General features: G+C 36.3%; 1 protein-coding gene across 3 annotated transcripts in view; it reads right to left on the bottom strand.

The window, feature by feature from the left end:
• DAZ4 (deleted in azoospermia 4) overlaps positions 1-27,358 on the bottom strand; it is a 73,221-nt gene that overhangs the window by 4,964 nt on the left and 40,899 nt on the right. Inside the window, exons 21-28 of one of the 3 annotated variants that reach the window (NM_001388484.1) lie at positions 18,242-18,313; positions 15,857-15,928; positions 13,472-13,543; positions 11,088-11,159; positions 8,703-8,774; positions 6,318-6,389; positions 5,538-5,572; positions 867-965 (exon numbers count right to left, since the gene is read on the bottom strand). In NM_001388484.1, coding sequence (NP_001375413.1) covers positions 902-965; positions 5,538-5,572; positions 6,318-6,389; positions 8,703-8,774; positions 11,088-11,159; positions 13,472-13,543; positions 15,857-15,928; positions 18,242-18,313 — 531 coding nt within the window. In that variant the 3' untranslated portion in view covers positions 867-901. The remainder of the gene's footprint in view (positions 1-866; positions 966-5,537; positions 5,573-6,317; positions 6,390-8,702; positions 8,775-11,087; positions 11,160-13,471; positions 13,544-15,856; positions 15,929-18,241; positions 18,314-27,358) is intronic. The other 2 variants (NM_001005375.3, NM_020420.4) reach the window with 2 other exon arrangements.

Below are 27,358 nucleotides of genomic sequence, written 5' to 3'. Positions count from 1 at the left end.
CAGCCTCAACTTCCCAGGCTCAAGCGATCCTCCTGCCTCAGACTCCTCTGGAGTAGTTGGCACTACAGGCATGTACCATCACAACTGGCTGATTTTTGTATTTTTTTGTAGAGATGGTGTTTTGCCTTGTTACCCAGGGTGGCCTCGAACTCCTGAGCTCAAGCAATCCACCCACCTCAGCCCCCCAAAGTGTTGGGATTACAGGCGTGAGCCTCTGCACCCAGCCAAGATCTCCTTTCTGTATCTAAAATTTTATTTTACTATTTGGTCAAGGTAGTCAACTAACTCTCTTCTCTAGTAAACCCTTTCAATTACAAATTTCTGCTGCAGGATTCTTCCCTAAATTTGACTACATTATATCAAGGCTCGGCAGCAGAAAATATACTGCCAGGTAAAACCCACACTGGTTTACTGGGTTACAGTCAAATGCCAACAGTTCAATTAAATGTTCTAGGCCGGGCACGGTGGCTCATGCCTGTAATCCCAGCACTTTGGGAGGCTGAGGCAGGTGGATCACGAGGTCAGGAGATCGAGACCATCCTGGCTAACACGGTGAAACCCCGTCTCTACTAAAAATACAAAAAATTAGCTGGGCGTGGTGGTGGGCGCCTGTAGTCCCAGCTACTCGGAAGGCTGAGGCAGGAGAATGGCGTTAAGTAAACCTGGGAGGTGGAGCTTGCAGTGAGCCTAGATGGGGCCACTCACTGCACTCCAGCCTGGGCGACAGAGGAGACTCCGTCTCAAAACAAAAAAAAAAGAAAAAAAATTCCTCTAAGAAAGCCCAAAATACATGTGCCACAAGGAAAACAGCTAACTTGAGAGGGAACAAGTGTGCTTTTTAATTATGCATGCCATTCCTTTCATACCTTGAAGCAGTCATCTTGAGTAACAACGGAATTTATCAGTCTCTTCTCTGGATTAAACAGACAAGATACCACCATTTGTATGCTTCGGTCCACAGATTTCTGAAACACAGAAGTTTTCAGTAATGTAAAGACAACTCTTTCTTTCACTCACTCTTAATAAGGGTGTGTTTTGGTTTTTCTTTTGATGGTTTAATGAACATATCAGTTTATTTCCAAAGAAATGCAAAAATGCTAAAAGAGGCTGGGAGCAGTGGCTCACACCTCTAATCCCAGCACTTTGGGAGGCCGAGGAGGACGCATCACCTGATATCAGGAGTTCAAGACTATCCTGGCCAACATGGCGAAACCCCTTCTCCACTAAAAAATACAAAAATTAGCTGGGTGACGGGTGCCTGTAATTCCACCTATTGGGGAGGCTGAGGCAGGGAGAATTACTGGAACCTAGGAGACAGAAGTTGCAGTGAGCCGAGATCACACCACTGCACTTCCAGCCTGGGCGACACCGCAAGACCCTGTCTCAAAAAAAAAAGAAATTCATAAAAATGTGATTCATAATTCCTGCCACATATCCTCAGTATGTACGTTTTCTGACAAATCGAAGAATTATTTTAGAACCTTAGCGATAGAATACTGGTTTAAAAAGCTGAATTTGTTAAATCCCTAAGTGAATTCCAATGTTTCAAGAAAACATACTCAGAACAAAACCAGACAATTATACTGTAAGAGTTATGTTTTCATATTTATTCACATTTTAAAATCCAATATCAAATCAAGGAATTTACACTGCAATGGGACTTCTTGGGTATTATACATATTACCAGCACATCAACTACTTCCACACGCCCACCTATCTAACAGAACATATGTGACGCCAGGAGTGACAGTACTGTTATTACAGAAATTTGCACTAATGATAAAAAAAAGAAACAACCCTGTCTATTTCAGTGTTTGAATAATTACTACTGACTTCACCACTGTTGGAAACTTCTGCCACATATAATGTTATGGAGAGAATGCTTATTTAAATGGTATTTTTCACTGCTTAAGATCAAAACTGTTGTAAAAGAAAAGGGACATACAATTCGTACTAATTCTTCTTTTGAGTAGAATTCTAGAGGAAACCCTCCCATAGCATTCTGCCAAATCATATTAATACAGTATTTATTAAAGAATGGCTTTTTAAAATTAGTGAAACTGAAATACAGGAAAGGACTTGCTGAATCAGAAACTTTAGGTATATACTGAAAATTTGGGGTATCTGAAATTTCAACAACCTTTACATTAACTGCTGACTATCAGTCCATTATTTAAGCTCCATGATTTATGGCTAACATTTTTAAATTTGGGCAAAAATGTTTGCTTCTCAAAAAAAGTCATTCAAATTAGAAAAAAATATGAAATATATATTGTAAAAAAAATTCAAAATTAGATGTTTGCCTTTTGTGGGCCATTTCCAGAGGGTGGGGTAGCTTCATGAATTGAGCATTCATTTAGCACAACATCACCTCCTGTATCAACTTCACTACAGTGACAGTTAAGAGCTGAATAAGCCTATATTTAAAATAATGAAAGTGTAATTAAACAGATAATACAGATACGTTTAAAAGCTACTTATTTATTCCTCAAAAAGGTGAGCTGGTATCAAAAGTTTCAATGTAGGTTGTGTTGAAATTCAATTGTGTTACTTCAGAAACCTTGTTTTAAACGAAAAGTTGAAATGCATTAAGGCAGCCTTTTGTTTTAAAACGTCTTCCAGGTATCAACATAATCAGAGGTAGAAGGATTCTAAGAAACAAATGTAGTTAAGGGAGTGTTTGAGAATTTTAACACTTACTATATCCTTCAAATATCCAATCGTGATGTAAGACAGCAGCTCTGTTGTATTAGAGGTAATACTCTTGTTTTATTCCTATTCCTCTTTAAGAGTAATTAATAGCAAAACATTTCGGTTTCTCCTCAACAAATGTTTTATGGCTAGTAAAGCCAGAGGCATATTCTAGGCAGATACATGCTAATTCTAAAGCCAGTTAATACCGCCATTCCTGGATTATATAATCTATCAACAAGTAACTGAACACTTATCATTATGTGGACCAGCCACTGTTTCAGCACACAAAAATGTGAGAGACAAAAAGGCACTGTTGCTCCCATGGGAGTTTATAATTGGGTTAAAAATAAAGTAACAAAACATAAAACATTAATATAAAGAACCATTTAAAAATATCTACAGGCATATATGGCATAGAAAAAAGTCAAGAAAGATGAGGAAGTATACGTTTCACTAATTCACTTTACTCCATAACCCCTTTTGCTCCCCAACAGGCCACTGCGGTAGCACCTTAAAAAAATAAAAAGAAGGAAACCAAAACTATTAAAATATTCCTACACATTTTCAAAAACTCATGAGATACACAATATTGAAGCACTTATCATGCTGGCTCATTTGTTATTAAAGTGAAAGAAACAGAGTAAAAAAAAAAAAAGAAGTACTTTATGTTTCTAATCCCTGATGTTCTTGTTACTTTTATACATAAAACCTCGCCATTTTCCCAATTTTCTGGAGTTGGCATTGTGGAAATCTCAAGGATACTAGTTTTTTCAATTTATTACTTATCACCATAGATATGATTATGGGTCACAGATGTAGTCATATCTATGAAAAGAGGCCCAGAGAACTACTATCATGAAGCAGCAAGCTTAAAATAAAAATATAATTGGAATTCTGTGCTCTAAGAATGGGATGATAAAAAGATGAAAAAGATGAAAAAATACACGCTGAAATATAGAAGGGGACAACGAATCTCAGAAAACTGTTTTACAGAAAAGTTATTGCTAAGTATATCCCTGTCAAAATGTTAATTCATTACTTCTAAATAATACAGAGGGCTTCATTCTAGACCATTGCAAGTGTTTTCCTAAATTTTAGGTACATTTCACTAGTTTAAAATGACACACTATTTGGGAAATTCATATAAACAAGTTAAAGGCTTCAATAATATCTGAAAACAAATCATTTTACTCCCTCTTCAATTACCTGATAATTACATACAGGCAACTGACACCCAGTGGTGACCTGACCTGGTGAATTTGGATAAGTAGGATATGTCTGAAAGTAAGTTTACAGAAAGAATGAATATGGTAAAACATCTTTTTAAATTAGAAAAAAATATTATTCCCAAAATAAAAAAAATGAAAAACTTTAAAATATTTATTAATTTTCTATATAAAACAATGCAGAATTCTAAATGAATGAATGACTTCAGGAAGAAATAAATATTCTCTGTCAAGTGCTAAGCCCCTTTGGGTGGGGCGGGGGAACACACAAATGACAAAGTAGTGACTATTTCACCAGGCAAAGTTCACCTTACTGACACTGTGTACTTATGCCCACCCAGAAGTTGTTTCTTACACTGCTGGTAAGGCTCCATTAAGACAGATCTCAATGTAAGTTAAGTTAATACATTTGCTATTTCTTTGTCAATATACTTCCAGATAGTTTTGTGTTTGACAATATTACAGGGTAATATGTAGTTCTCCTACAGATGTTATGTTTTTTTTCTGTACTTCATTTCGAAAAACTAAGGGCAGTGTACAATCCAAAACTGGAGAAGGACAGTACGATGTCTTATATGTTTCGATAAATACTTATTGTTTGAAAACATATAGGAAGCAGCATACATGAATACACCCAAATTCAGTAATGGCTCACCGTAAATGTTAGAAACAAGTAGGGCTTTGTCTCTAGCCATTGTTCAGAGAAGAAAAAAGAAGAAGAGGTATATCCTACACATTTCAAGTACACAGAAAATGTCAATAAATGAGAGACACTGAAGAACTATTTCACTACTATTTTGTTACTTTATTTTCCATCAAAGAAAATGTCTTTTAAACTAACACATAAATAAAATGGACTAAGAAGAAAACAGACGTTATTTATCACCAATAAGTGATAGAGTATGTCAAATCCTACTTTAAATATCAAAGTAATCAGGATCAGAGAAATTACATGCCAGAAATTCACAGGATTTATAGGTACAGTAAAATAGGTCAGAAATCTATACATTCCAGACCGAGAATATATCCCGAAGTCAGCAGTTTATATGAGGAGTCAACTGGAAATCATTGCAAGTAAAGAAGAGCTAGATTAATCGCTATCCTTAAAGAATAAACTAGGCAGAAACATTAGAACAGCTGCTTTCAAATGTTTTCAGAACTAGGTATAATGGGGGAAAGAAGTTCAGGTATTTTAGAGGTAATACTCTTTTTTTATTCCTATTCTTATTTAAGAGTAATTAACAGCAAAACATTTCTGTTTCTCTTCAACAAATTTTTTGTGGCTGGTAAAACCAGAGGCAGACCCTACGCAGATACATGCTAATTCTAAAGTGACATTAATACTATCTTTCTTAGATTACACAGTCTATCAACAAGTAACTGAACACTTATTATGTGGACCAGCCACTCCTTAAGCACACAAAAACCTGAGAGAGAAAAAGGCACTGTTGCACCCATGGGAGATTGTAACTGGGTTAAAAAGAAAGTAACAAAATGTAACACATTAATATAAAGAATCATTTAAAATATTTATAAGGCATAAATGATATGGAAAATAATCCAGAAAGAACAGAAGTACATGGTAGGCTAATTCACTTTACCAGAGGTACAACCTACCTCCTTTGCTCCCCAACAGGGCACTGCGGTGGCATCTTAAAAAAAAAATAGGAAAACAAAATTATTCAAATATTCATAAACATTTTCAAAAACAAATGATATATAAAATATTGAAGTACCTATGCTGGCTCCTTTGTTATTATAATAAAAGAAAGACAATGGAAAAAAAGAAGTACTTTATGGTTCTAATTCCTGACATTCTTGTTGTTACTTCCACATACAAATACGAAACCACACCTTTTCCCCAATTTTTGGATTTGGCATTGTGGAAATCTCAAAGATGTTACTACTTTGAACTTATTATGCTACATATGATTATTGGTCATAGATAGAGTCCTCTCTACTATGAAAAGAGAACCAGACAACAATTGTCGGGAAACAGCCTACTAAATGAAACTATAATTTGAATTATGTGCTCTAAGAATTGGGTAATAATTTTATTTACTCTATATCCCTAAAAAATTCATGAAAGTCATTCTGGAGGTTTCATTCAGCTATTTGACAGCAAAGATGAAAACTATATCCTGAAATATAGAAGGGTCAAATCTCAGAAAACTGTTCTACAGAAAAGTTATTGCCAAGTACATTCCTGTCAAAATATTACTTCATTACTTCTAAATCAGACAGAGGTCTTCATTCTACACTAATTCTAAGTGTTTCCTTAAATATTAGGTACACTTCACTAGTTTAAAATGACCAACTATTCAGGAAATTTGTATAAACAAGTTAAAGGCCTCAATAATACCTGAAAGCAAATCATTTCATTCCTTCTTACATTACCTGGTAATTGTATACATGGAACTGATATCCAGTGGTGACCTGAACTGCTGAATTTGGATAAGCAGGAAATGCCTGAAAAGAAAGGTGGCAGAAAAAAAAGAATATGGTAAACCATTTTTTAAAATTAGAAAGAAATATCATTCCCAATGTAACAAAAATATTAAAAACGTTAAAATATCATTTTTCTACATACAACAATGCAGAATTCTAAATGAATGACTGACTTTATGAAGAAAGAAATAGTCTATGTCATGTGCCACACTTTGGGTGTGAAGGGGGAACAAATGACAAAAGAATTGACTATTTCACCAAAGTTTACCTTATACTGTGTACTTATTCACACCCAGAAATTCTTTCTTACACCGGTGATAAGGCTCCATTAAGACAGATTGCAATGTAAGTTAAATTTATACATTTGCTATTTCAATGTCAGAATATTTCTAGACTGTTTTGTATCAGACAATATTAAAGGGTAATATGTAGTTCTATAGATATTAGTGCTATGTTTGTACTTCATTCCAAAAAACTAAGTGCAGTCTATAATCCAATACTGGAGAAGAGAAAGTATAATGTCTTATATGTTTCAATGAATTCTTATTGTTTGAAAACATACAGGTAGCAGCATACATGAATATGCCCTGATTCAGTAATGCCGCACAGTAAATGACAGAAACAAGTAGGGCTTTTTTTCCAGCCATTGTTCAGAGAAGGAAAAAGAAGAGGTATACCACACATGTTTCAAGTACATGGAAAACATCAACAAATTAGAGACACTGCAGAACTATTGGACTATTATTTTGTTACTTCATTTTCCGTCAAAGAAAATGTCTTTAAAGCTAACACATAAATAAAACGAACTAAGAAGAATATAAACGTCCTTTATCAACATTAAGTGATGGAGTATGTCAAAACCTACTTTAAATATCAGTGTAAGCAGGATCAGAGAAATTAGATGCAAGAAGCTCACGGGATTTATATACCTACTAAACCACATCAGAAATCTACCCATTCCCGAACCAGAATATATCCAGAAGTCAGCAATTTATATGAGGAGGCATCTGGAAATCATTTCAAATAAAGGGTAGCTAGATGAACTGTTAAACTTACCGAAGAATGAAGTAGGCAGACACATAAGGAGAGCTGCTTTCATTCACTTTAGGAACTGGTTATAAGGAGGAAAGCAGCTCTGGTGCTTTGGAGGTAATACTCTCGTTTACTCCTATTCTTATTTAAGCGCAATTAACAGCAAAGCATTTCTGTCTCTGTTCTACAAATTTTCTGTTGCTGGTAAAGCCAGAGGCAGAATCTACGCAGATGCATGCTAATTCAAAAGCCACATGAATACTACCTTTCTTTGATGATATGGTCTATCATTAAGTGGACCTGCCATTGCTTAAGCAAATAAAAACCTCAGGGCAAAAAAGGCACTGTTGCTCCCATGGGAGTTTATAATCGGGTTAACAAGAAAGTAAAAAAATAAACTAAAACATTGATATAAAAATCACTTAAAAATAGTAATAGGCATATACGACGTGGAAAAAAACCAAGAATGAACAGGAAGTCTATGTTTGGCTAATTCACTTAACATCAAGGAAAACATAATCCCTTTGCTCCCCAACAGGCCCCTATGGTGGCATCTTAAAAAAAAAAAAAAAAAGGAAACCAAAACTATTAAAATATTCCTACACATTTTCAAAAACACATGAGAAACACAATATTGAAGCACTTATCCTGCTGTCTCCTTTTTTATTATAATACAAGTAACAGAAAGGAAAACTTGAGTACTTTATGTTTCTACTCCATGACATTCTTCTTACTTTTATATTAGAAACTTCACCCTTCTCCACATTTTCGGGAGTTGGCAATGTGGAAACCTCAAAGATACTAGCTCTTTCAGTTTATTACCATAGATATAATTATTGGGCATAGATGTACTTGTATCTGTGAAAAGAGACCCAGAGAATTGCTATCGTGAAACAGCCAGCTAAAATGAAAATATAGTTGGAATTCTGTGCTCTGAAAAGTGGGTCATAATTTTATTTCACTCTATCTCCCTAAGAAAATTCATGAAAGTCAGTTTGGATGTTTCATTCAGTTATTTGACAGTAAAGATGAAAACTACATCCAGAAATGAAGAATGGGACACCAAATCTCAGAAATCTGTTCTACAGGAAAGTTATTCCCAAGTATATTCCTGTCAAAATTCGACTTCATTACTTCTCAATAAGACAGAGGTCTTCATTCTACACTAATTCTAAGTGTTTCCTTAAATTTTAGGTACACTTCACTAGTTTAAAATGACCAACTATTCCGGAAATTTGTATAAACAAGTTAAAGGCCTCAATAATACCTGAAAGCAAATAATTTTACTCCTTCTTACATTACCTGATAATTATATACAGGCAACTGATATCCAGTGGTGACCTGAAATGGTGAACTTGGATAAGCAGGAAATGCCTGAAAAGAAAGGTTGGCAGAAAAAAATGAATATGGTAAACCACTTTTTAAAATTACAAAGAAATATAATTCCCAATATAACAACAATATTACAGAAGGGAAAATATCGTTTTTCTACATACAACAATGCAGAATTCCAAATGAATGACTGATTTATGAAGAAAGAAAGATTCCATGTCAAGTGCTACACTTTGGGTGTGAAGGGGGAAGAAATGACAAAAGAATTGACGACTTCACCAAAGTTTACCTTATACTGTGTACGTATTCACACCCAGACGTTCTTTCTTACACTGGTGATAAGGCTCCATTAAGAGAGATTGCAAGGTAAGTTAAATTAATACATTTGCTATTTCCCTGTCAGAATATTTCTACACTGTTTTTTATCAGACAATATTATAGGACAATGTGTAGTTGTACACGCGTTATGGCTTTGTCTGTACTTCATTCCAGAAAACTAAGTGCAGTCTATAATCCAATACTGGAGAAGAGAAAGTATAATGTCTTATAAGTTTCAATAAATTCTTATTGTTTGAAAACATACAGGTAGCAGCATACATGAATACACCCAGATTCAGTAATGCCTCACAGTAAATGACAGAAAGAAGTAGGGTTTTTTTTCTAGCCATTGTTCAGAGAAGGAAAAAGAAGAGGTGTACCATACATGTTTCAAGTACATGGAAAATATCAACAAATTAGAGACACGGCAGAACTATTCGACTATTATTTTGTTACTTCACTTTCCGTCAAAGAAAATGTCTTTAAAGCTAACACATAAATAAAACGAACTAAGAAGAATATAAACGTCCTTTATCAACATTAAGTGATGGAGTATGTCAAAACCTACTTTAAATATCAGTGTAAGCAGGATCAGAGAAATTAGATGCAAGAAGCTCACGGGATTTATATACCTACTAAACCACATCAGAAATCTACCCATTCCCGAACCAGAATATATCCAGAAGTCAGCAATTTATATGAGGAGGCATCTGGAAATCATTTCAAATAAAGGGTAGCTAGATGAACTGTTAAACTTACCGAAGAATGAAGTAGGCAGACACATAAGGAGAGCTGCTTTCATTCACTTTAGGAACTGGTTATAAGGAGGAAAGCAGCTCTGGTGCTTTGGAGGTAATACTCTCGTTTACTCCTATTCTTATTTAAGCGCAATTAACAGCAAAGCATTTCTGTCTCTGTTCTACAAATTTTCTGTTGCTGGTAAAGCCAGAGGCAGAATCTACGCAGATGCATGCTAATTCAAAAGCCACATGAATACTACCTTTCTTTGATGATATGGTCTATCATTAAGTGGACCTGCCATGGCTTAAGCAAATAAAAACCTCAGGGCAAAAAAGGCACTGTTGCTCCCATGGGAGTTTATAATCGGGTTAACAAGAAAGTAAAAAAATAAACTAAAACATTGATATAAAAATCACTTAAAAATAGTAATAGGCATATACGACGTGGAAAAAAACCAAGAATGAACAGGAAGTCTATGTTTGGCTAATTCACTTAACATCAAGGAAAACATAATCCCTTTGCTCCCCAACAGGCCCCTATGGTGGCATCTTAAAAAAAAAAAAAGAAAGGAAACCAAAACTATTAAAATATTCCTACACATTTTCAAAAACACATGAGAAACACAATATTGAAGCACTTATCCTGCTGTCTCCTTTTTTATTATAATACAAGTAACAGAAAGGAAAACTTGAGTACTTTATGTTTCTACTCCATGACATTCTTCTTACTTTTATATTAGAAACTTCACCCTTCTCCACATTTTCGGGAGTTGGCAATGTGGAAACCTCAAAGATACTAGCTCTTTCAGTTTATTACCATAGATATAATTATTGGGCATAGATGTACTTGTATCTGTGAAAAGAGACCCAGAGAATTGCTATCGTGAAACAGCCAGCTAAAATGAAAATATAGTTGGAATTCTGTGCTCTGAAAAGTGGGTCATAATTTTATTTCACTCTATCTCCCTAAGAAAATTCATGAAAGTCAGTTTGGATGTTTCATTCAGTTATTTGACAGTAAAGATGAAAACTACATCCAGAAATGAAGAATGGGACACCAAATCTCAGAAATCTGTTCTACAGGAAAGTTATTCCCAAGTATATTCCTGTCAAAATTCGACTTCATTACTTCTCAATAAGACAGAGGTCTTCATTCTACACTAATTCTAAGTGTTTCCTTAAATTTTAGGTACACTTCACTAGTTTAAAATGACCAACTATTCCGGAAATTTGTATAAACAAGTTAAAGGCCTCAATAATACCTGAAAGCAAATAATTTTACTCCTTCTTACATTACCTGATAATTATATACAGGCAACTGATATCCAGTGGTGACCTGAAATGGTGAACTTGGATAAGCAGGAAATGCCTGAAAAGAAAGGTTGGCAGAAAAAAATGAATATGGTAAACCACTTTTTAAAATTACAAAGAAATATAATTCCCAATATAACAACAATATTACAGAAGGGAAAATATCGTTTTTCTACATACAACAATGCAGAATTCCAAATGAATGACTGATTTATGAAGAAAGAAAGATTCCATGTCAAGTGCTACACTTTGGGTGTGAAGGGGGAAGCAATGACAAAAGAATTGACGACTTCACCAAAGTTTACCTTATACTGTGTACGTATTCACACCCAGACGTTATTTCTTACACTGGTGATAAGGCTCCATTAAGAGAGATTGCAAGGTAAGTTAAATTAATACATTTGCTATTTCCCTGTCAGAATATTTCTACACTGTTTTTTATCAGACAATATTATAGGACAATGTGTAGTTGTACACGCGTTATGGCTTTGTCTGTACTTCATTCCGGAAAACTAAGTGCAGTCTATAATCCAATACTGGAGAAGAGAAAGTATAATGTCTTATATGTTTCAATGAATTCTTATTGTTTGAAAACATACAGGTAGCAGCATACATGAATACACCCAGATTCAGTAATGCCTCACAGTAAATGACAGAAAGAAGTAGGGTTTTTTTTCTAGCCATTGTTCAGAGAAGGAAAAAGAAGAGGTGTACCATACATGTTTCAAGTACATGGAAAATATCAACAAATTAGAGACACGGCAGAACTATTCGACTATTATTTTGTTACTTCACTTTCCGTCAAAGAAAATGTCTTTAAAGCTAACACATAAATAAAACGAACTAAGAAGAATATAAACGTCCTTTATCAACATTAAGTGATGGAGTATGTCAAAACCTACTTTAAATATCAGTGTAAGCAGGATCAGAGAAATTAGATGCAAGAAGCTCACGGGATTTATATACCTACTAAACCACATCAGAAATCTACCCATTCCCGAACCAGAATATATCCAGAAGTCAGCAATTTATATGAGGAGGCATCTGGAAATCATTTCAAATAAAGGGTAGCTAGATGAACTGTTAAACTTACCGAAGAATGAAGTAGGCAGACACATAAGGAGAGCTGCTTTCATTCACTTTAGGAACTGGTTATAAGGAGGAAAGCAGCTCTGGTGCTTTGGAGGTAATACTCTCGTTTACTCCTATTCTTATTTAAGCGCAATTAACAGCAAAGCATTTCTGTCTCTGTTCTACAAATTTTCTGTTGCTGGTAAAGCCAGAGGCAGAATCTACGCAGATGCATGCTAATTCAAAAGCCACATGAATACTACCTTTCTTTGATGATATGGTCTATCATTAAGTGGACCTGCCATTGCTTAAGCAAATAAAAACCTCAGGGCAAAAAAGGCACTGTTGCTCCCATGGGAGTTTATAATCGGGTTAACAAGAAAGTAAAAAAATAAACTAAAACATTGATATAAAAATCACTTAAAAATAGTAATAGGCATATACGACGTGGAAAAAAACCAAGAATGAACAGGAAGTCTATGTTTGGCTAATTCACTTAACATCAAGGAAAACATAATCCCTTTGCTCCCCAACAGGCCCCTATGGTGGCATCTTAAAAAAAAAAAAAAAAGGAAACCAAAACTATTAAAATATTCCTACACATTTTCAAAAACACATGAGAAACACAATATTGAAGCACTTATCCTGCTGTCTCCTTTTTTATTATAATACAAGTAACAGAAAGGAAAACTTGAGTACTTTATGTTTCTACTCCATGACATTCTTCTTACTTTTATATTAGAAACTTCACCCTTCTCCACATTTTCGGGAGTTGGCAATGTGGAAACCTCAAAGATACTAGCTCTTTCAGTTTATTACCATAGATATAATTATTGGGCATAGATATACTTGTATCTGTGAAAAGAGACCCAGAGAATTGCTATCGTGAAACAGCCAGCTAAAATGAAAATATAGTTGGAATTCTGTGCTCTGAAAAGTGGGTCATAATTTTATTTCACTCTATCTCCCTAAGAAAATTCATGAAAGTCAGTTTGGATGTTTCATTCAGTTATTTGACAGTAAAGATGAAAACTACATCCAGAAATGAAGAATGGGACACCAAATCTCAGAAATCTGTTCTACAGGAAAGTTATTCCCAAGTATATTCCTGTCAAAATTCGACTTCATTACTTCTCAATAAGACAGAGGTCTTCATTCTACACTAATTCTAAGTGTTTCCTTAAATTTTAGGTACACTTCACTAGTTTAAAATGACCAACTATTCCGGAAATTTGTATAAACAAGTTAAAGGCCTCAATAATACCTGAAAGCAAATAATTTTACTCCTTCTTACATTACCTGATAATTATATACAGGCAACTGATATCCAGTGGTGACCTGAAATGGTGAACTTGGATAAGCAGGAAATGCCTGAAAAGAAAGGTTGGCAGAAAAAAATGAATATGGTAAACCACTTTTTAAAATTACAAAGAAATATAATTCCCAATATAACAACAATATTACAGAAGGGAAAATATCGTTTTTCTACATACAACAATGCAGAATTCCAAATGAATGACTGATTTATGAAGAAAGAAAGATTCCATGTCAAGTGCTACACTTTGGGTGTGAAGGGGGAAGCAATGACAAAAGAATTGACGACTTCACCAAAGTTTACCTTATACTGTGTACGTATTCACACCCAGACGTTATTTCTTACACTGGTGATAAGGCTCCATTAAGAGAGATTGCAAGGTAAGTTAAATTAATACATTTGCTATTTCCCTGTCAGAATATTTCTACACTGTTTTTTATCAGACAATATTATAGGACAATGTGTAGTTGTACACGCGTTATGGCTTTGTCTGTACTTCATTCCGGAAAACTAAGTGCAGTCTATAATCCAATACTGGAGAAGAGAAAGTATAATGTCTTATATGTTTCAATGAATTCTTATTGTTTGAAAACATACAGGTAGCAGCATACATGAATACACCCAGATTCAGTAATGCCTCACAGTAAATGACAGAAAGAAGTAGGGTTTTTTTTCTAGCCATTGTTCAGAGAAGGAAAAAGAAGAGGTGTACCATACATGTTTCAAGTACATGGAAAATATCAACAAATTAGAGACACGGCAGAACTATTCGACTATTATTTTGTTACTTCACTTTCCGTCAAAGAAAATGTCTTTAAAGCTAACACATAAATAAAACGAACTAAGAAGAATATAAACATCCTTTATCAACATTAAGTGATGGAGTATGTCAAAACCTACTTTAAATATCAGTGTAAGCAGGATCAGAGAAATTAGATGCAAGAAGCTCACGGGATTTATATACCTACTAAACCACATCAGAAATCTACCCATTCCCGAACCAGAATATATCCAGAAGTCAGCAATTTATATGAGGAGGCATCTGGAAATCATTTCAAATAAAGGGTAGCTAGATGAACTGTTAAACTTACCGAAGAATGAAGTAGGCAGACACATAAGGAGAGCTGCTTTCATTCACTTTAGGAACTGGTTATAAGGAGGAAAGCAGCTCTGGTGCTTTGGAGGTAATACTCTCGTTTACTCCTATTCTTATTTAAGCGCAATTAACAGCAAAGCATTTCTGTCTCTGTTCTACAAATTTTCTGTTGCTGGTAAAGCCAGAGGCAGAATCTACGCAGATGCATGCTAATTCAAAAGCCACATGAATACTACCTTTCTTTGATGATATGGTCTATCATTAAGTGGACCTGCCATTGCTTAAGCAAATAAAAACCTCAGGGCAAAAAAGGCACTGTTGCTCCCATGGGAGTTTATAATCGGGTTAACAAGAAAGTAAAAAAATAAACTAAAACATTGATATAAAAATCACTTAAAAATAGTAATAGGCATATACGACGTGGAAAAAAACCAAGAATGAACAGGAAGTCTATGTTTGGCTAATTCACTTAACATCAAGGAAAACATAATCCCTTTGCTCCCCAACAGGCCCCTATGGTGGCATCTTAAAAAAAAAAAAAAAAAGGAAACCAAAACTATTAAAATATTCCTACACATTTTCAAAAACACATGAGAAACACAATATTGAAGCACTTATCCTGCTGTCTCCTTTTTTATTATAATACAAGTAACAGAAAGGAAAACTTGAGTACTTTATGTTTCTACTCCATGACATTCTTCTTACTTTTATATTAGAAACTTCACCCTTCTCCACATTTTCGGGAGTTGGCAATGTGGAAACCTCAAAGATACTAGCTCTTTCAGTTTATTACCATAGATATAATTATTGGGCATAGATGTACTTGTATCTGTGAAAAGAGACCCAGAGAATTGCTATCGTGAAACAGCCAGCTAAAATGAAAATATAGTTGGAATTCTGTGCTCTGAAAAGTGGGTCATAATTTTATTTCACTCTATCTCCCTAAGAAAATTCATGAAAGTCAGTTTGGATGTTTCATTCAGTTATTTGACAGTAAAGATGAAAACTACATCCAGAAATGAAGAATGGGACACCAAATCTCAGAAATCTGTTCTACAGGAAAGTTATTCCCAAGTATATTCCTGTCAAAATTCGACTTCATTACTTCTCAATAAGACAGAGGTCTTCATTCTACACTAATTCTAAGTGTTTCCTTAAATTTTAGGTACACTTCACTAGTTTAAAATGACCAACTATTCCGGAAATTTGTATAAACAAGTTAAAGGCCTCAATAATACCTGAAAGCAAATAATTTTACTCCTTCTTACATTACCTGATAATTATATACAGGCAACTGATATCCAGTGGTGACCTGAAATGGTGAACTTGGATAAGCAGGAAATGCCTGAAAAGAAAGGTTGGCAGAAAAAAATGAATATGGTAAACCACTTTTTAAAATTACAAAGAAATATAATTCCCAATATAACAACAATATTACAGAAGGGAAAATATCGTTTTTCTACATACAACAATGCAGAATTCCAAATGAATGACTGATTTATGAAGAAAGAAAGATTCCATGTCAAGTGCTACACTTTGGCTGTGAAGGGGGAAGAAATGACAAAAGAATTGACGACTTCACCAAAGTTTACCTTATACTGTGTACGTATTCACACCCAGACGTTATTTCTTACACTGGTGATAAGGCTCCATTAACAGAGATTGCAAGGTAAGTTAAATTAATACATTTGCTATTTCCCTGTCAGAATATTTCTACACTGTTTTTTATCAGACAATATTATAGGACAATGTGTAGTTGTACACGCGTTATGGCTTTGTCTGTACTTCATTCCGGAAAACTAAGTGCAGTCTATAATCCAATACTGGAGAAGAGAAAGTATAATGTCTTATATGTTTCAATGAATTCTTATTGTTTGAAAACATACAGGTAGCAGCATACATGAATACACCCAGATTCAGTAATGCCTCACAGTAAATGACAGAAAGAAGTAGGGTTTTTTTTCTAGCCATTGTTCAGAGAAGGAAAAAGAAGAGGTGTACCATACATGTTTCAAGTACATGGAAAATATCAACAAATTAGAGACACGGCAGAACTATTCGACTATTATTTTGTTACTTCACTTTCCGTCAAAGAAAATGTCTTTAAAGCTAACACATAAATAAAACGAACTAAGAAGAATATAAACGTCCTTTATCAACATTAAGTGATGGAGTATGTCAAAACCTACTTTAAATATCAGTGTAAGCAGGATCAGAGAAATTAGATGCAAGAAGCTCACGGGATTTATATACCTACTAAACCACATCAGAAATCTACCCATTCCCGAACCAGAATATATCCAGAAGTCAGCAATTTATATGAGGAGGCATCTGGAAATCATTTCAAATAAAGGGTAGCTAGATGAACTGTTAAACTTACCGAAGAATGAAGTAGGCAGACACATAAGGAGAGCTGCTTTCATTCACTTTAGGAACTGGTTATAAGGAGGAAAGCAGCTCTGGTGCTTTGGAGGTAATACTCTCGTTTACTCCTATTCTTATTTAAGCGCAATTAACAGCAAAGCATTTCTGTCTCTGTTCTACAAATTTTCTGTTGCTGGTAAAGCCAGAGGCAGAATCTACGCAGATGCATGCTAATTCAAAAGCCACATGAATACTACCTTTCTTTGATGATATGGTCTATCATTAAGTGGACCTGCCATTGCTTAAGCAAATAAAAACCTCAGGGCAAAAAAGGCACTGTTGCTCCCATGGGAGTTTATAATCGGGTTAACAAGAAAGTAAAAAAATAAACTAAAACATTGATATAAAAATCACTTAAAAATAGTAATAGGCATATACGACGTGGAAAAAAACCAAGAATGAACAGGAAGTCTATGTTTGGCTAATTCACTTAACATCAAGGAAAACATAATCCCTTTGCTCCCCAACAGGCCCCTATGGTGGCATCTTAAAAAAAAAAAAAGAAAGGAAACCAAAACTATTAAAATATTCCTACACATTTTCAAAAACACATGAGAAACACAATATTGAAGCACTTATCCTGCTGTCTCCTTTTTTATTATAATACAAGTAACAGAAAGGAAAACTTGAGTACTTTATGTTTCTACTCCATGACATTCTTCTTACTTTTATATTAGAAACTTCACCCTTCTCCACATTTTCGGGAGTTGGCAATGTGGAAACCTCAAAGATACTAGCTCTTTCAGTTTATTACCATAGATATAATTATTGGGCATAGTTATACTTGTATCTGTGAAAAGAGACCCAGAGAATTGCTATCGTGAAACAGCCAGCTAAAATGAAAATATAGTTGGAATTCTGTGCTCTGCAAAGTGGGTCATAATTTTATTTCACTCTATCTCCCTAAGAAAATTCATGAAAGTCAGTTTGGATGTTTCATTCAGTTATTTGACAGTAAAGATGAAAACTACATCCAGAAATGAAGAATGGGACACCAAATCTCAGAAATCTGTTCTACAGGAAAGTTATTCCCAAGTATATTCCTGTCAAAATTCGACTTCATTACTTCTCAATAAGACAGAGGTCTTCATTCTACACTAATTCTAAGTGTTTCCTTAAATTTTAGGTACACTTCACTAGTTTAAAATGACCAACTATTCCGGAAATTTGTATAAACAAGTTAAAGGCCTCAATAATACCTGAAAGCAAATAATTTTACTCCTTCTTACATTACCTGATAATTATATACAGGCAACTGATATCCAGTGGTGACCTGAAATGGTGAACTTGGATAAGCAGGAAATGCCTGAAAAGAAAGGTTGGCAGAAAAAAATGAATATGGTAAACCACTTTTTAAAATTACAAAGAAATATAATTCCCAATATAACAACAATATTACAGAAGGGAAAATATCGTTTTTCTACATACAACAATGCAGAATTCCAAATGAATGACTGATTTATGAAGAAAGAAAGATTCCATGTCAAGTGCTACACTTTGGCTGTGAAGGGGGAAGAAATGACAAAAGAATTGACGACTTCACCAAAGTTTACCTTATACTGTGTACGTATTCACACCCAGACGTTATTTCTTACACTGGTGATAAGGCTCCATTAACAGAGATTGCAAGGTAAGTTAAATTAATACATTTGCTATTTCCCTGTCAGAATATTTCTACACTGTTTTTTATCAGACAATATTATAGGACAATGTGTAGTTGTACATGCGTTATGGCTTTGTCTGTACTTCATTCCGGAAAACTAAGTGCAGTCTATAATCCAATACTGGAGAAGAGAAAGTATAATGTCTTATATGTTTCAATAAATTCTTATTGTTTGAAAACATACAGGTAGCAGCATACATGAATACACCCAGATTCAGTAATGCCTCACAGTAAATGACAGAAAGAAGTAGGGTTTTTTTTCTAGCCATTGTTCAGAGAAGGAAAAAGAAGAGGTGTACCATACATGTTTCAAGTACATGGAAAATATCAACAAATTAGAGACACGGCAGAACTATTCGACTATTATTTTGTTACTTCACTTTCCGTCAAAGAAAATGTCTTTAAAGCTAACACATAAATAAAACGAACTAAGAAGAATATAAACATCCTTTATCAACATTAAGTGATGGAGTATGTCAAAACCTACTTTAAATATCAGTGTAAGCAGGATCAGAGAAATTAGATGCAAGAAGCTCACGGGATTTATATACCTACTAAACCACATCAGAAATCTACCCATTCCCGAACCAGAATATATCCAGAAGTCAGCAATTTATATGAGGAGGCATCTGGAAATCATTTCAAATAAAGGGTAGCTAGATGAACTGTTAAACTTACCGAAGAATGAAGTAGGCAGACACATAAGGAGAGCTGCTTTCATTCACTTTAGGAACTGGTTATAAGGAGGAAAGCAGCTCTGGTGCTTTGGAGGTAATACTCTCGTTTACTCCTATTCTTATTTAAGCGCAATTAACAGCAAAGCATTTCTGTCTCTGTTCTACAAATTTTCTGTTGCTGGTAAAGCCAGAGGCAGAATCTACGCAGATGCATGCTAATTCAAAAGCCACATGAATACTACCTTTCTTTGATGATATGGTCTATCATTAAGTGGACCTGCCATTGCTTAAGCAAATAAAAACCTCAGGGCAAAAAAGGCACTGTTGCTCCCATGGGAGTTTATAATCGGGTTAACAAGAAAGTAAAAAAGTAAACTAAAACATTGATATAAAAATCACTTAAAAATAGTAATAGGCATATACGACGTGGAAAAAAACCAAGAATGAACAGGAAGTCTATGTTTGGCTAATTCACTTAACATCAAGGAAAACATAATCCCTTTGCTCCCCAACAGGCCCCTATGGTGGCATCTTGAAAAAAAAAGGGGGGTGGGGGAGGAGCCAAGATGGCCGAATAGGAACAGCTCCAGTCTACAGCTCCCAGCGTGAGCGACGCCGAAGACGGGTGATTTCTGCATTTCCATCTGAGGTACCGGGTTCATCTCACTAGGGAGTGCCAGACAGTGGGCGCAGGTCAGTGGGTGGGCTCACCGCGTGCGAGCGGAAGCAGGGCGAGGCATTGCCTCACTTGGGACGCGCAAGCGGTCAGGGAGTTCCCTTCTGAGTCAAAGAAAGGGGTGACGGATGCCACCTGGAGAATCGGGTCACTCCCACCCGAATACTGCGCTTTTCCGACGGGCTTAAAAAACGGCACACCACTAGATTATATCCCGCACCTGGCTCGGAGGGTCCTACGCCCACGCAGTCTCACTGATTGCTAGCACAGCAGTCTGAGATCAAACTGCAAGGCGGCAACGAGGCTGGGGGAGGGGCGCCCGCCATTGCCCAGGCTTGATTAGGTAAACAAAGCCGCAGGGAAGCTCCAACTGGGTGGAGCCCACCACAGCTCAAGGAGGCCTGCCTGCCTCTGTAGGCTCCACCTCTAGGGGCAGGGCACAGACAAACAAAAAGACAGCAGTAACCTCTGCAGACTTAAATGACCCTGTCTGACAGCTTTGAAGAGAGCAGTGGTTCTCCCAGCACGCAGCTGGAGATCTGAGAACGGGCAGACTGCCTCGTCAAGTGGGTCCCTGACCCCTGACCCCCCGAGCAGCCTAACTGGGAGGCACCCCCCAGCAGGGGCACACTGACACCTCACACGGCAGGGTATTCCAACAGACCTGCAGCTGAGGGTCCTCTCAGTTAGAAGGAAAACTAACAAACAGAAAGGACATCCACACCAAAAACCCATCTGTACATCACCATCATCAAAGACCAAAAGTAGATAAAACCACAAAGAGGGGGAAAAAACAGAACAGAAAAACTGGAAACTCTAAAAAGCAGAGCACCTCTCCTCCTCCAAAGGAACGCAGTTCCTCACCAGCAACGGAACAAAGCTGGATGGAGAATGACTTTGACGAGCTGAGAGAAGAAGGCTTCAGACGATCAAATTACTCTGAGCTACGGGAGGACATTCAAACCAAAGGCAAAGAAGTTGAAAACTTTGGGAAAAAAAAATGTAGAAGAATGTATAACTAGAATAACCAATACAGAGAAGTGCTTAAAGGAGCTGATGGAGCTGAAAACCAAGGCTCAAGAACTACGTGAAGAATGCAGAAGCCTCAGGAGCTGATGCGATCAACTGGAAGAAAGGGTATCAGCAATGGAAGATGAAATGAATGAAATGAAGTGAGAAGGGAAGTTTGGAGAAAAAAGAATAAAACGAAATGAGCAAAGCCTCCAAGAAATATGGGACTATGTGAAAAGACCAAATCTACGTCTGCTTGGTGTACCTGAAAGTGATCGGGAGAATGGAACCAAGCTGGAAAACACTCTGCAGGATATTATCCAGGAGAACTTCCCCAATCTAGCAAGGCAGGCCAACGTTCAGATTCAGGAAATACAGAGAACGCCACAAAGATACTCCTCGAGAAGAGCAACTCCAAGACACATAATTGTCAGATTCACCAAAGTTGAAATGAAGGAAAAAATGTTAAGGGCAGCCAGAGAGAAAGGTCGGGTTACCCTCAAAGGGAAGCCCATCAGACTAACAGTGGATCTCTCGGCAGAAACCCTACAAGCCAGAAGAGAGTGGGGGCCAATATTCAACATTCTTAAAGAAAATAATTTTCAACCCAGAATTTCATATCCAGCCAAACTAAGCTTCATAAGCGAAGGAGAAATAAAATACTTTACAGACAAGCAAATGCTGAGAGATTTTGTCACCACCAAGCCTGCCTTATAAGAGCTCCTGAAGGAAGCACTAAACATGGAAAGGAACAACCGGTACCAGCCGCTGCAAAATCATGCCAAAATGTAAAGACCATCGAGACTAGGAAGAAACTGCATCAACTAACAAGCAAAATAACCAGCTAACATCATAATGACAGGATCAAATTCATACATAACAATATTAACTTTAAATGTCAATGGACTAAATGCTCCAATTAAAAGACACAGACTGGCAAACTGGATAAAGAGTCAAGACCCATCAGTGTGCTGTATTCAGGAAACCCATCTCACGTGCAGAGACACACATAGGCTCAAAATAAAAGGATGCAGGAAGATCTACCAAGCAAATGGAAAACAAAAAAAGGCAGGGGTTGCAATCCTAGTCTCTGATAAAACAGACTTTAAACCAACAAAGATCAAAAGAGACAAAGAAGGCCATTACATAATGGTAAAGGGATCAATTCAACAAGAAGAGCTAACTATCCTAAATATATATGCACCCAATACAGGAGCACCAAGATTCATAAAGCAAGTCCTGAGTGACCTACAAAGAGACTTAGACTCCCACACATTAATAATGGGAGACTTTAACACCCCACTGTCAACATTAGACAGATCAACGAGACAGAAAGTCAACAAGGATACCCAGGAATTGAACTCAGCTCTGCACCAAGTGGACCTAATAGACATCTACAGAACTCTCCACCCCAAATCAACAGAATATACATTTTTTTTCAGCACCACACCACACCTATTCCAAAACTGACCACATACTGGGAAGTAAAGCTCTCCTCAGCAGATGTAAAAGAACAGAAATTATAACAAACTATCTCTCAGACCACAGTGCAATCAAACTAGAACTCAGGATTAAGAATCTCACTCAAAACCACTCAACTACATGGAAACTGAACAACCTGCTCCTGAATGACTACTGGGTACATAACAAAATGAAGGCAGAAATAAAGATGTTCTTTGAAACCAACGAGAACAAAGACACAACATACCGGAATCTCTGGGATGCATTCAAAGCAGTGTGTAGAGGGAAATTTATAGCACTAAATGCCCACAAGAGAAAGCAGGAAAGATCCAAAATTGACACCGTAACATCACAATTAAAAGAACTAGAAAAGCAAGAGCAAACACAGTCAAAAGCTAGCAGAAGGCAAGAAATAACTAAGATCAGAGCAGAACTGAAGGAAATAGAGACACAAAAAACCCTTCAAAAAATTAATGAATCCAGGAGCTGGTTTTTTGAAAGGATCAACAAAAGTGACAGACCGCTAGCAAGACTAATAAAGAAAAAAAGAGAGAAGAATCCAATAGACGCAATAAAAAATGATAAAGGGGATATCGCCACTGATCACACAGAAATACAAACTACCATCAGAGAATACTACAAACACCTCTACGCAAATAAACTAGAAAATCTAGAAGAAATGGATAAACTCCTCGACACATACACTCTCCCAAGACTAAACCAGGAAGAAGTTGAATCTCTGAATAGACCAATAACAGGAGCTGAAATTGTGGCAATAATCAATAGCTCACCAACCAAAAAGAGTCCAGGACCAGATGGATTCACAGCCGAATTCTACCAGAGGTACAAGGAGGAACTGGTACCATTCCTTCTGAAACTATTCCAATCAACAGAAAAAGACAGAATCCTCCCTAACTCATTTTATGAGGCCAGCATCATTCTGATACCAAAGCCAGGCAGAGACACAACCAAAAAAGAGAATTTTAGACCAATATCCTTGATGAACATTGATGCAAAAATCCTCAATAAAATACTGGCAAAACGAATCCAGCGGCACATCAAAAAGCTTATCCACCATGATCAAGTGGGCTTCATCGCTGGGATGCAAGGCTGGTTCAATATACGCAAATCAATAAATGTAATCCAGCATATAAACAGAACCAAAGACAAAAAACACATGATTATCTCAATAGATGCAGAAAAAGCCCTTGACAAAATTCAACAACCCTTCATGCTAAAAACTCTCAATAAATTAGGTATTGATGGGACGTATTTCAAAATAGTAAGAGCTATCTATGACAAACCCACAGCCAATATCATACTGAATGGGCAAAAACTGGAAGCATTCCCTTTGAAAACTGGCACAAGAGAGGGATGCCCTCTCTCACCACTCCTATTCAACATAGTGTTGGAAGTTCTGGCCAGGGCAATTAGGCAGGAGAAGGAAATAAAGGGTATTCAATTAGGAAAGGAGGAAGTCAAATTGTCCCTGTTTGCAGACAACATGATTATATATCTAGAAAACCCCATTGTCTCAGCCCAAAATCTCCTTAAGCTGATAAGCAACTTCAGCAAAGTCTCAGGATACAAAATCAATGTACAAAAATCACAAGCTTTCTTATACACCAACAACAGACAAACAGAGAGCCCAATCATGAGTGAACTCCCATTCACAATTGCTTCAAAGGGAATAAAATGCCTAGGAAATCAACTTACAAGGGATGTGAAGGACCTCTTCAAGGAGAACTACAAACCACTGCTCAAGGAAATAAAAGAGGATACAAACAAATGGAAGAACATTCCATGCTCATGAGTAGGAAGAATCAATATCGTGAAAATGGCCATACTGCCCAAGGTAATTTACAGATTCAATGCCATCCCCATCAAGCTACCAATGCCTTTCTTCACAGAATTGGAAAAAACTACTTTAAAGTTCACATGGAACCAAAAAAGAGCCCGCATTGCCAAGTCAATCCTAAGCCAAAAGAACAAAGCTGGAGGCATCACACTACCTGACTTCAAACTATACTACAAGGCTACAGTAACCAAAACAGCATGGTACTGGTACCAAAACAGAGATATAGATCAATGGAACAGAACAGAGCCCTCAGAAATAACGCCGCATATCTACAACTATCTGATCTTTGACAAACCTGAGAAAAACAAGCAATGGGGAAAGGATTCCCTATTTAATAAATGGTGCTGGGAAAACTGGCTAGCCATATGTAGAAAGCTGAAACTGGATCCCTTCCTTACACCTTATACAAAAATCAATTCAAGATGGATTAAAGACTTAAACGTTAGACGTAAAACCATAAAAACCCTAGAAGAAAACCTAGGCATTACCATTCAGGACATAGGCATAGGCGAGGACTTCACGTCTAAAACACCAAAAGCAATGGCAATAAAAGACAAAATTGACAAATGGGATCTAATTAAACTAAAGAGCTTCTGCACAGAAAAAGAAACTACCATCAGAGTGAACAGGCAACCTACAAAATGGGAGAAAATTTTCACAACCTACTCATCTGACAAAGGGCTAATATCCAGAATCTACAATGAGCTAAAACAAATTTACAAGAAAAAACAAACAACCTCATCAAAAAGTGGGTGAAGGACATGAACAGACACTTCTCAAAAGAAGACATTTATGCAGCCAAAAAACACATGAAAAAATGCTCATCATCACTGGCCATCAGAGAAATGCAAATCAAAACCACAGTGAGATACCATCTCACACCAGTTAGAATGGCAATCATTTAAAAGTCAGGAGACAACAGGTGCTGGAGAAGATGTGGAGAAACAGGAACACTTTTACACTGTTGGCGGGACTGTAAACTAGTTCAACCATTGTGGAAGTCAGTGTGGCGATTCCTCAGGGATCTAGAACTGGAAATAGCATTTGACCCAGCCATCCCATTACTGGGTGTATACACAAAGGACTATAAATCATGCTGCTATAAAGACACATGCACACGTATGTTTATTGCGGCATTATTCACAATAGCAAAGACTTGGAACCAACCCAAATGTCCAACAATGATAGACTGGATTAAGAAAATGTGGCACATATACACCATGGAATACTATGCCGCCATAAAAAATGATGACTTCATGTCCTTTGTAGGGACATGGATGAAATTGGAAATCATCATTCTCAGTAAACTATCGCAAGAACAAAAAACCAAACACCGCATATTCTCACTCATAGGTGGGAATTGAACAATGAGATCACATGGACACAGGAAGGGATATATCACACTCTGGGGACTGTTGTGGGGTGGGGGGAGGGGGGAGGGATAGCACTGGGAGATATACCTAATGCTAGATGAGGAGTTAGAGGGTGCAGAGCACCAGCATGGCACATGTATACATATGGAACTAACCTGCACAATGTGCACATGGACCCTAAAACTTAAAGCATAATTTTTTAAAAAAAAAGAATTGACTACTTCACCAAAGTTTACCTTATACTGTGTACTTATTCACACCCAGAAATTATGTCTTACACTGGTGATAAGGTTCCACTAAGACAGATTGCAATGTAAGGTAAATCAATACATTTGCAATTTCGCTGTAAGAATATTTCCAGACTGTTTTGTATCAGACAATATTGTAGGGTAATATGTAGTTCTATAGATGTTATGGCTTTGTCTGTATTTCATTCCAAAAAACTAATTGCAGTCTATATTCCAATACTGGAGAATAAAAAGTATAATGTCTGACATGTTTCAACAAATTCTTATTGTTTGAAAACATACAGGTAGCAGCATACATGAATACACCCAGAATCACTAATGCCTCACAGTAAACGAGAGAAACAAGTAGGGCTTTTTTTCTAGCCATGGTTCAGAGAAGGAAAAAGAAGAGGTATACCATACATGTTTCAAGTACATGGAAAATATCAACAAATTAGAAACACTGCAGAACTATTTCACTATTATTTTGTTACTACATTTTCCATCAAAGAAAATGTCTTTTAAGCTAACACATCAATGAAATGAACTAAGAAGAATATAAACGTTATTTATCAACAGTAAGTGATAGAGTATGTCAAACCCTACTTTAAATATCAATGTCACCAGGATCAGAGAAATTAGATGCCAGAAACTCAAGCGGTTTATATATATATACTAAATCACATCAGAAATCTACCCATTCCAGAACCAGAATATATCCAGAAGTCAGCAATTTATATGAGGAGGCATCTGGAAATCATTTCAAATAAAGGATAGCTAGATGAATTGCTAAACTTACGGAAGAATAAAGTAGGCAGACACATAAGGAGAGCTGCTTTCATTCACTTTAGGAACTGCTTATACGGGGGAAAGCTGCTCTGGTGATTTGCAGGTAATACTCTCCTTTACTTCTATTCTTATTTAAGCATAATTAACAGCAAAGCATTTCTGTTTCTCTTCTATAAATTTACTACTGCTGGTAAAGCCAGAGGCAGATTCTATGCAGCTACATGCTAATTCTAAAGTCACGTGAATATTACCTTTCTTTGATTATATAGTCTATCATTATGTGGAGCTGCCATTGCTTAAGCACATAAAACCCTGAGGGCAAAAAAGGCACTGTTGCTGCCATGGGAGTTTATACTCGGGTTAACAAGAAAGTAACAACAACAACAACAAACATTAATATAGAGAGTCACTTAAAAATATTTATAGGCATATATGACATGGAAAAAAAATCAAGAATGAACAGGAAGTCTATGTTTGGCTAATTCCCTTAACGTCAAGGACAACATAATCCCTTTGCTCCCCAACAGGCCCCTAAGGTGGCATCTTTAAAAAAAAAAAAAAAAAAAGGAAACCAAAACTATTAAACTATTCCTACATATTTTCAAACACACATGAG

This window comes from Homo sapiens, chromosome Y, assembly GCF_000001405.40.
Source record: "Homo sapiens chromosome Y, GRCh38.p14 Primary Assembly".
NCBI lineage: Eukaryota > Metazoa > Chordata > Mammalia > Primates > Hominidae > Homo > Homo sapiens.
Note: the sequence above shows the minus strand (reverse complement) of the source record. Positions and strands in the feature narration are given on the sequence as shown.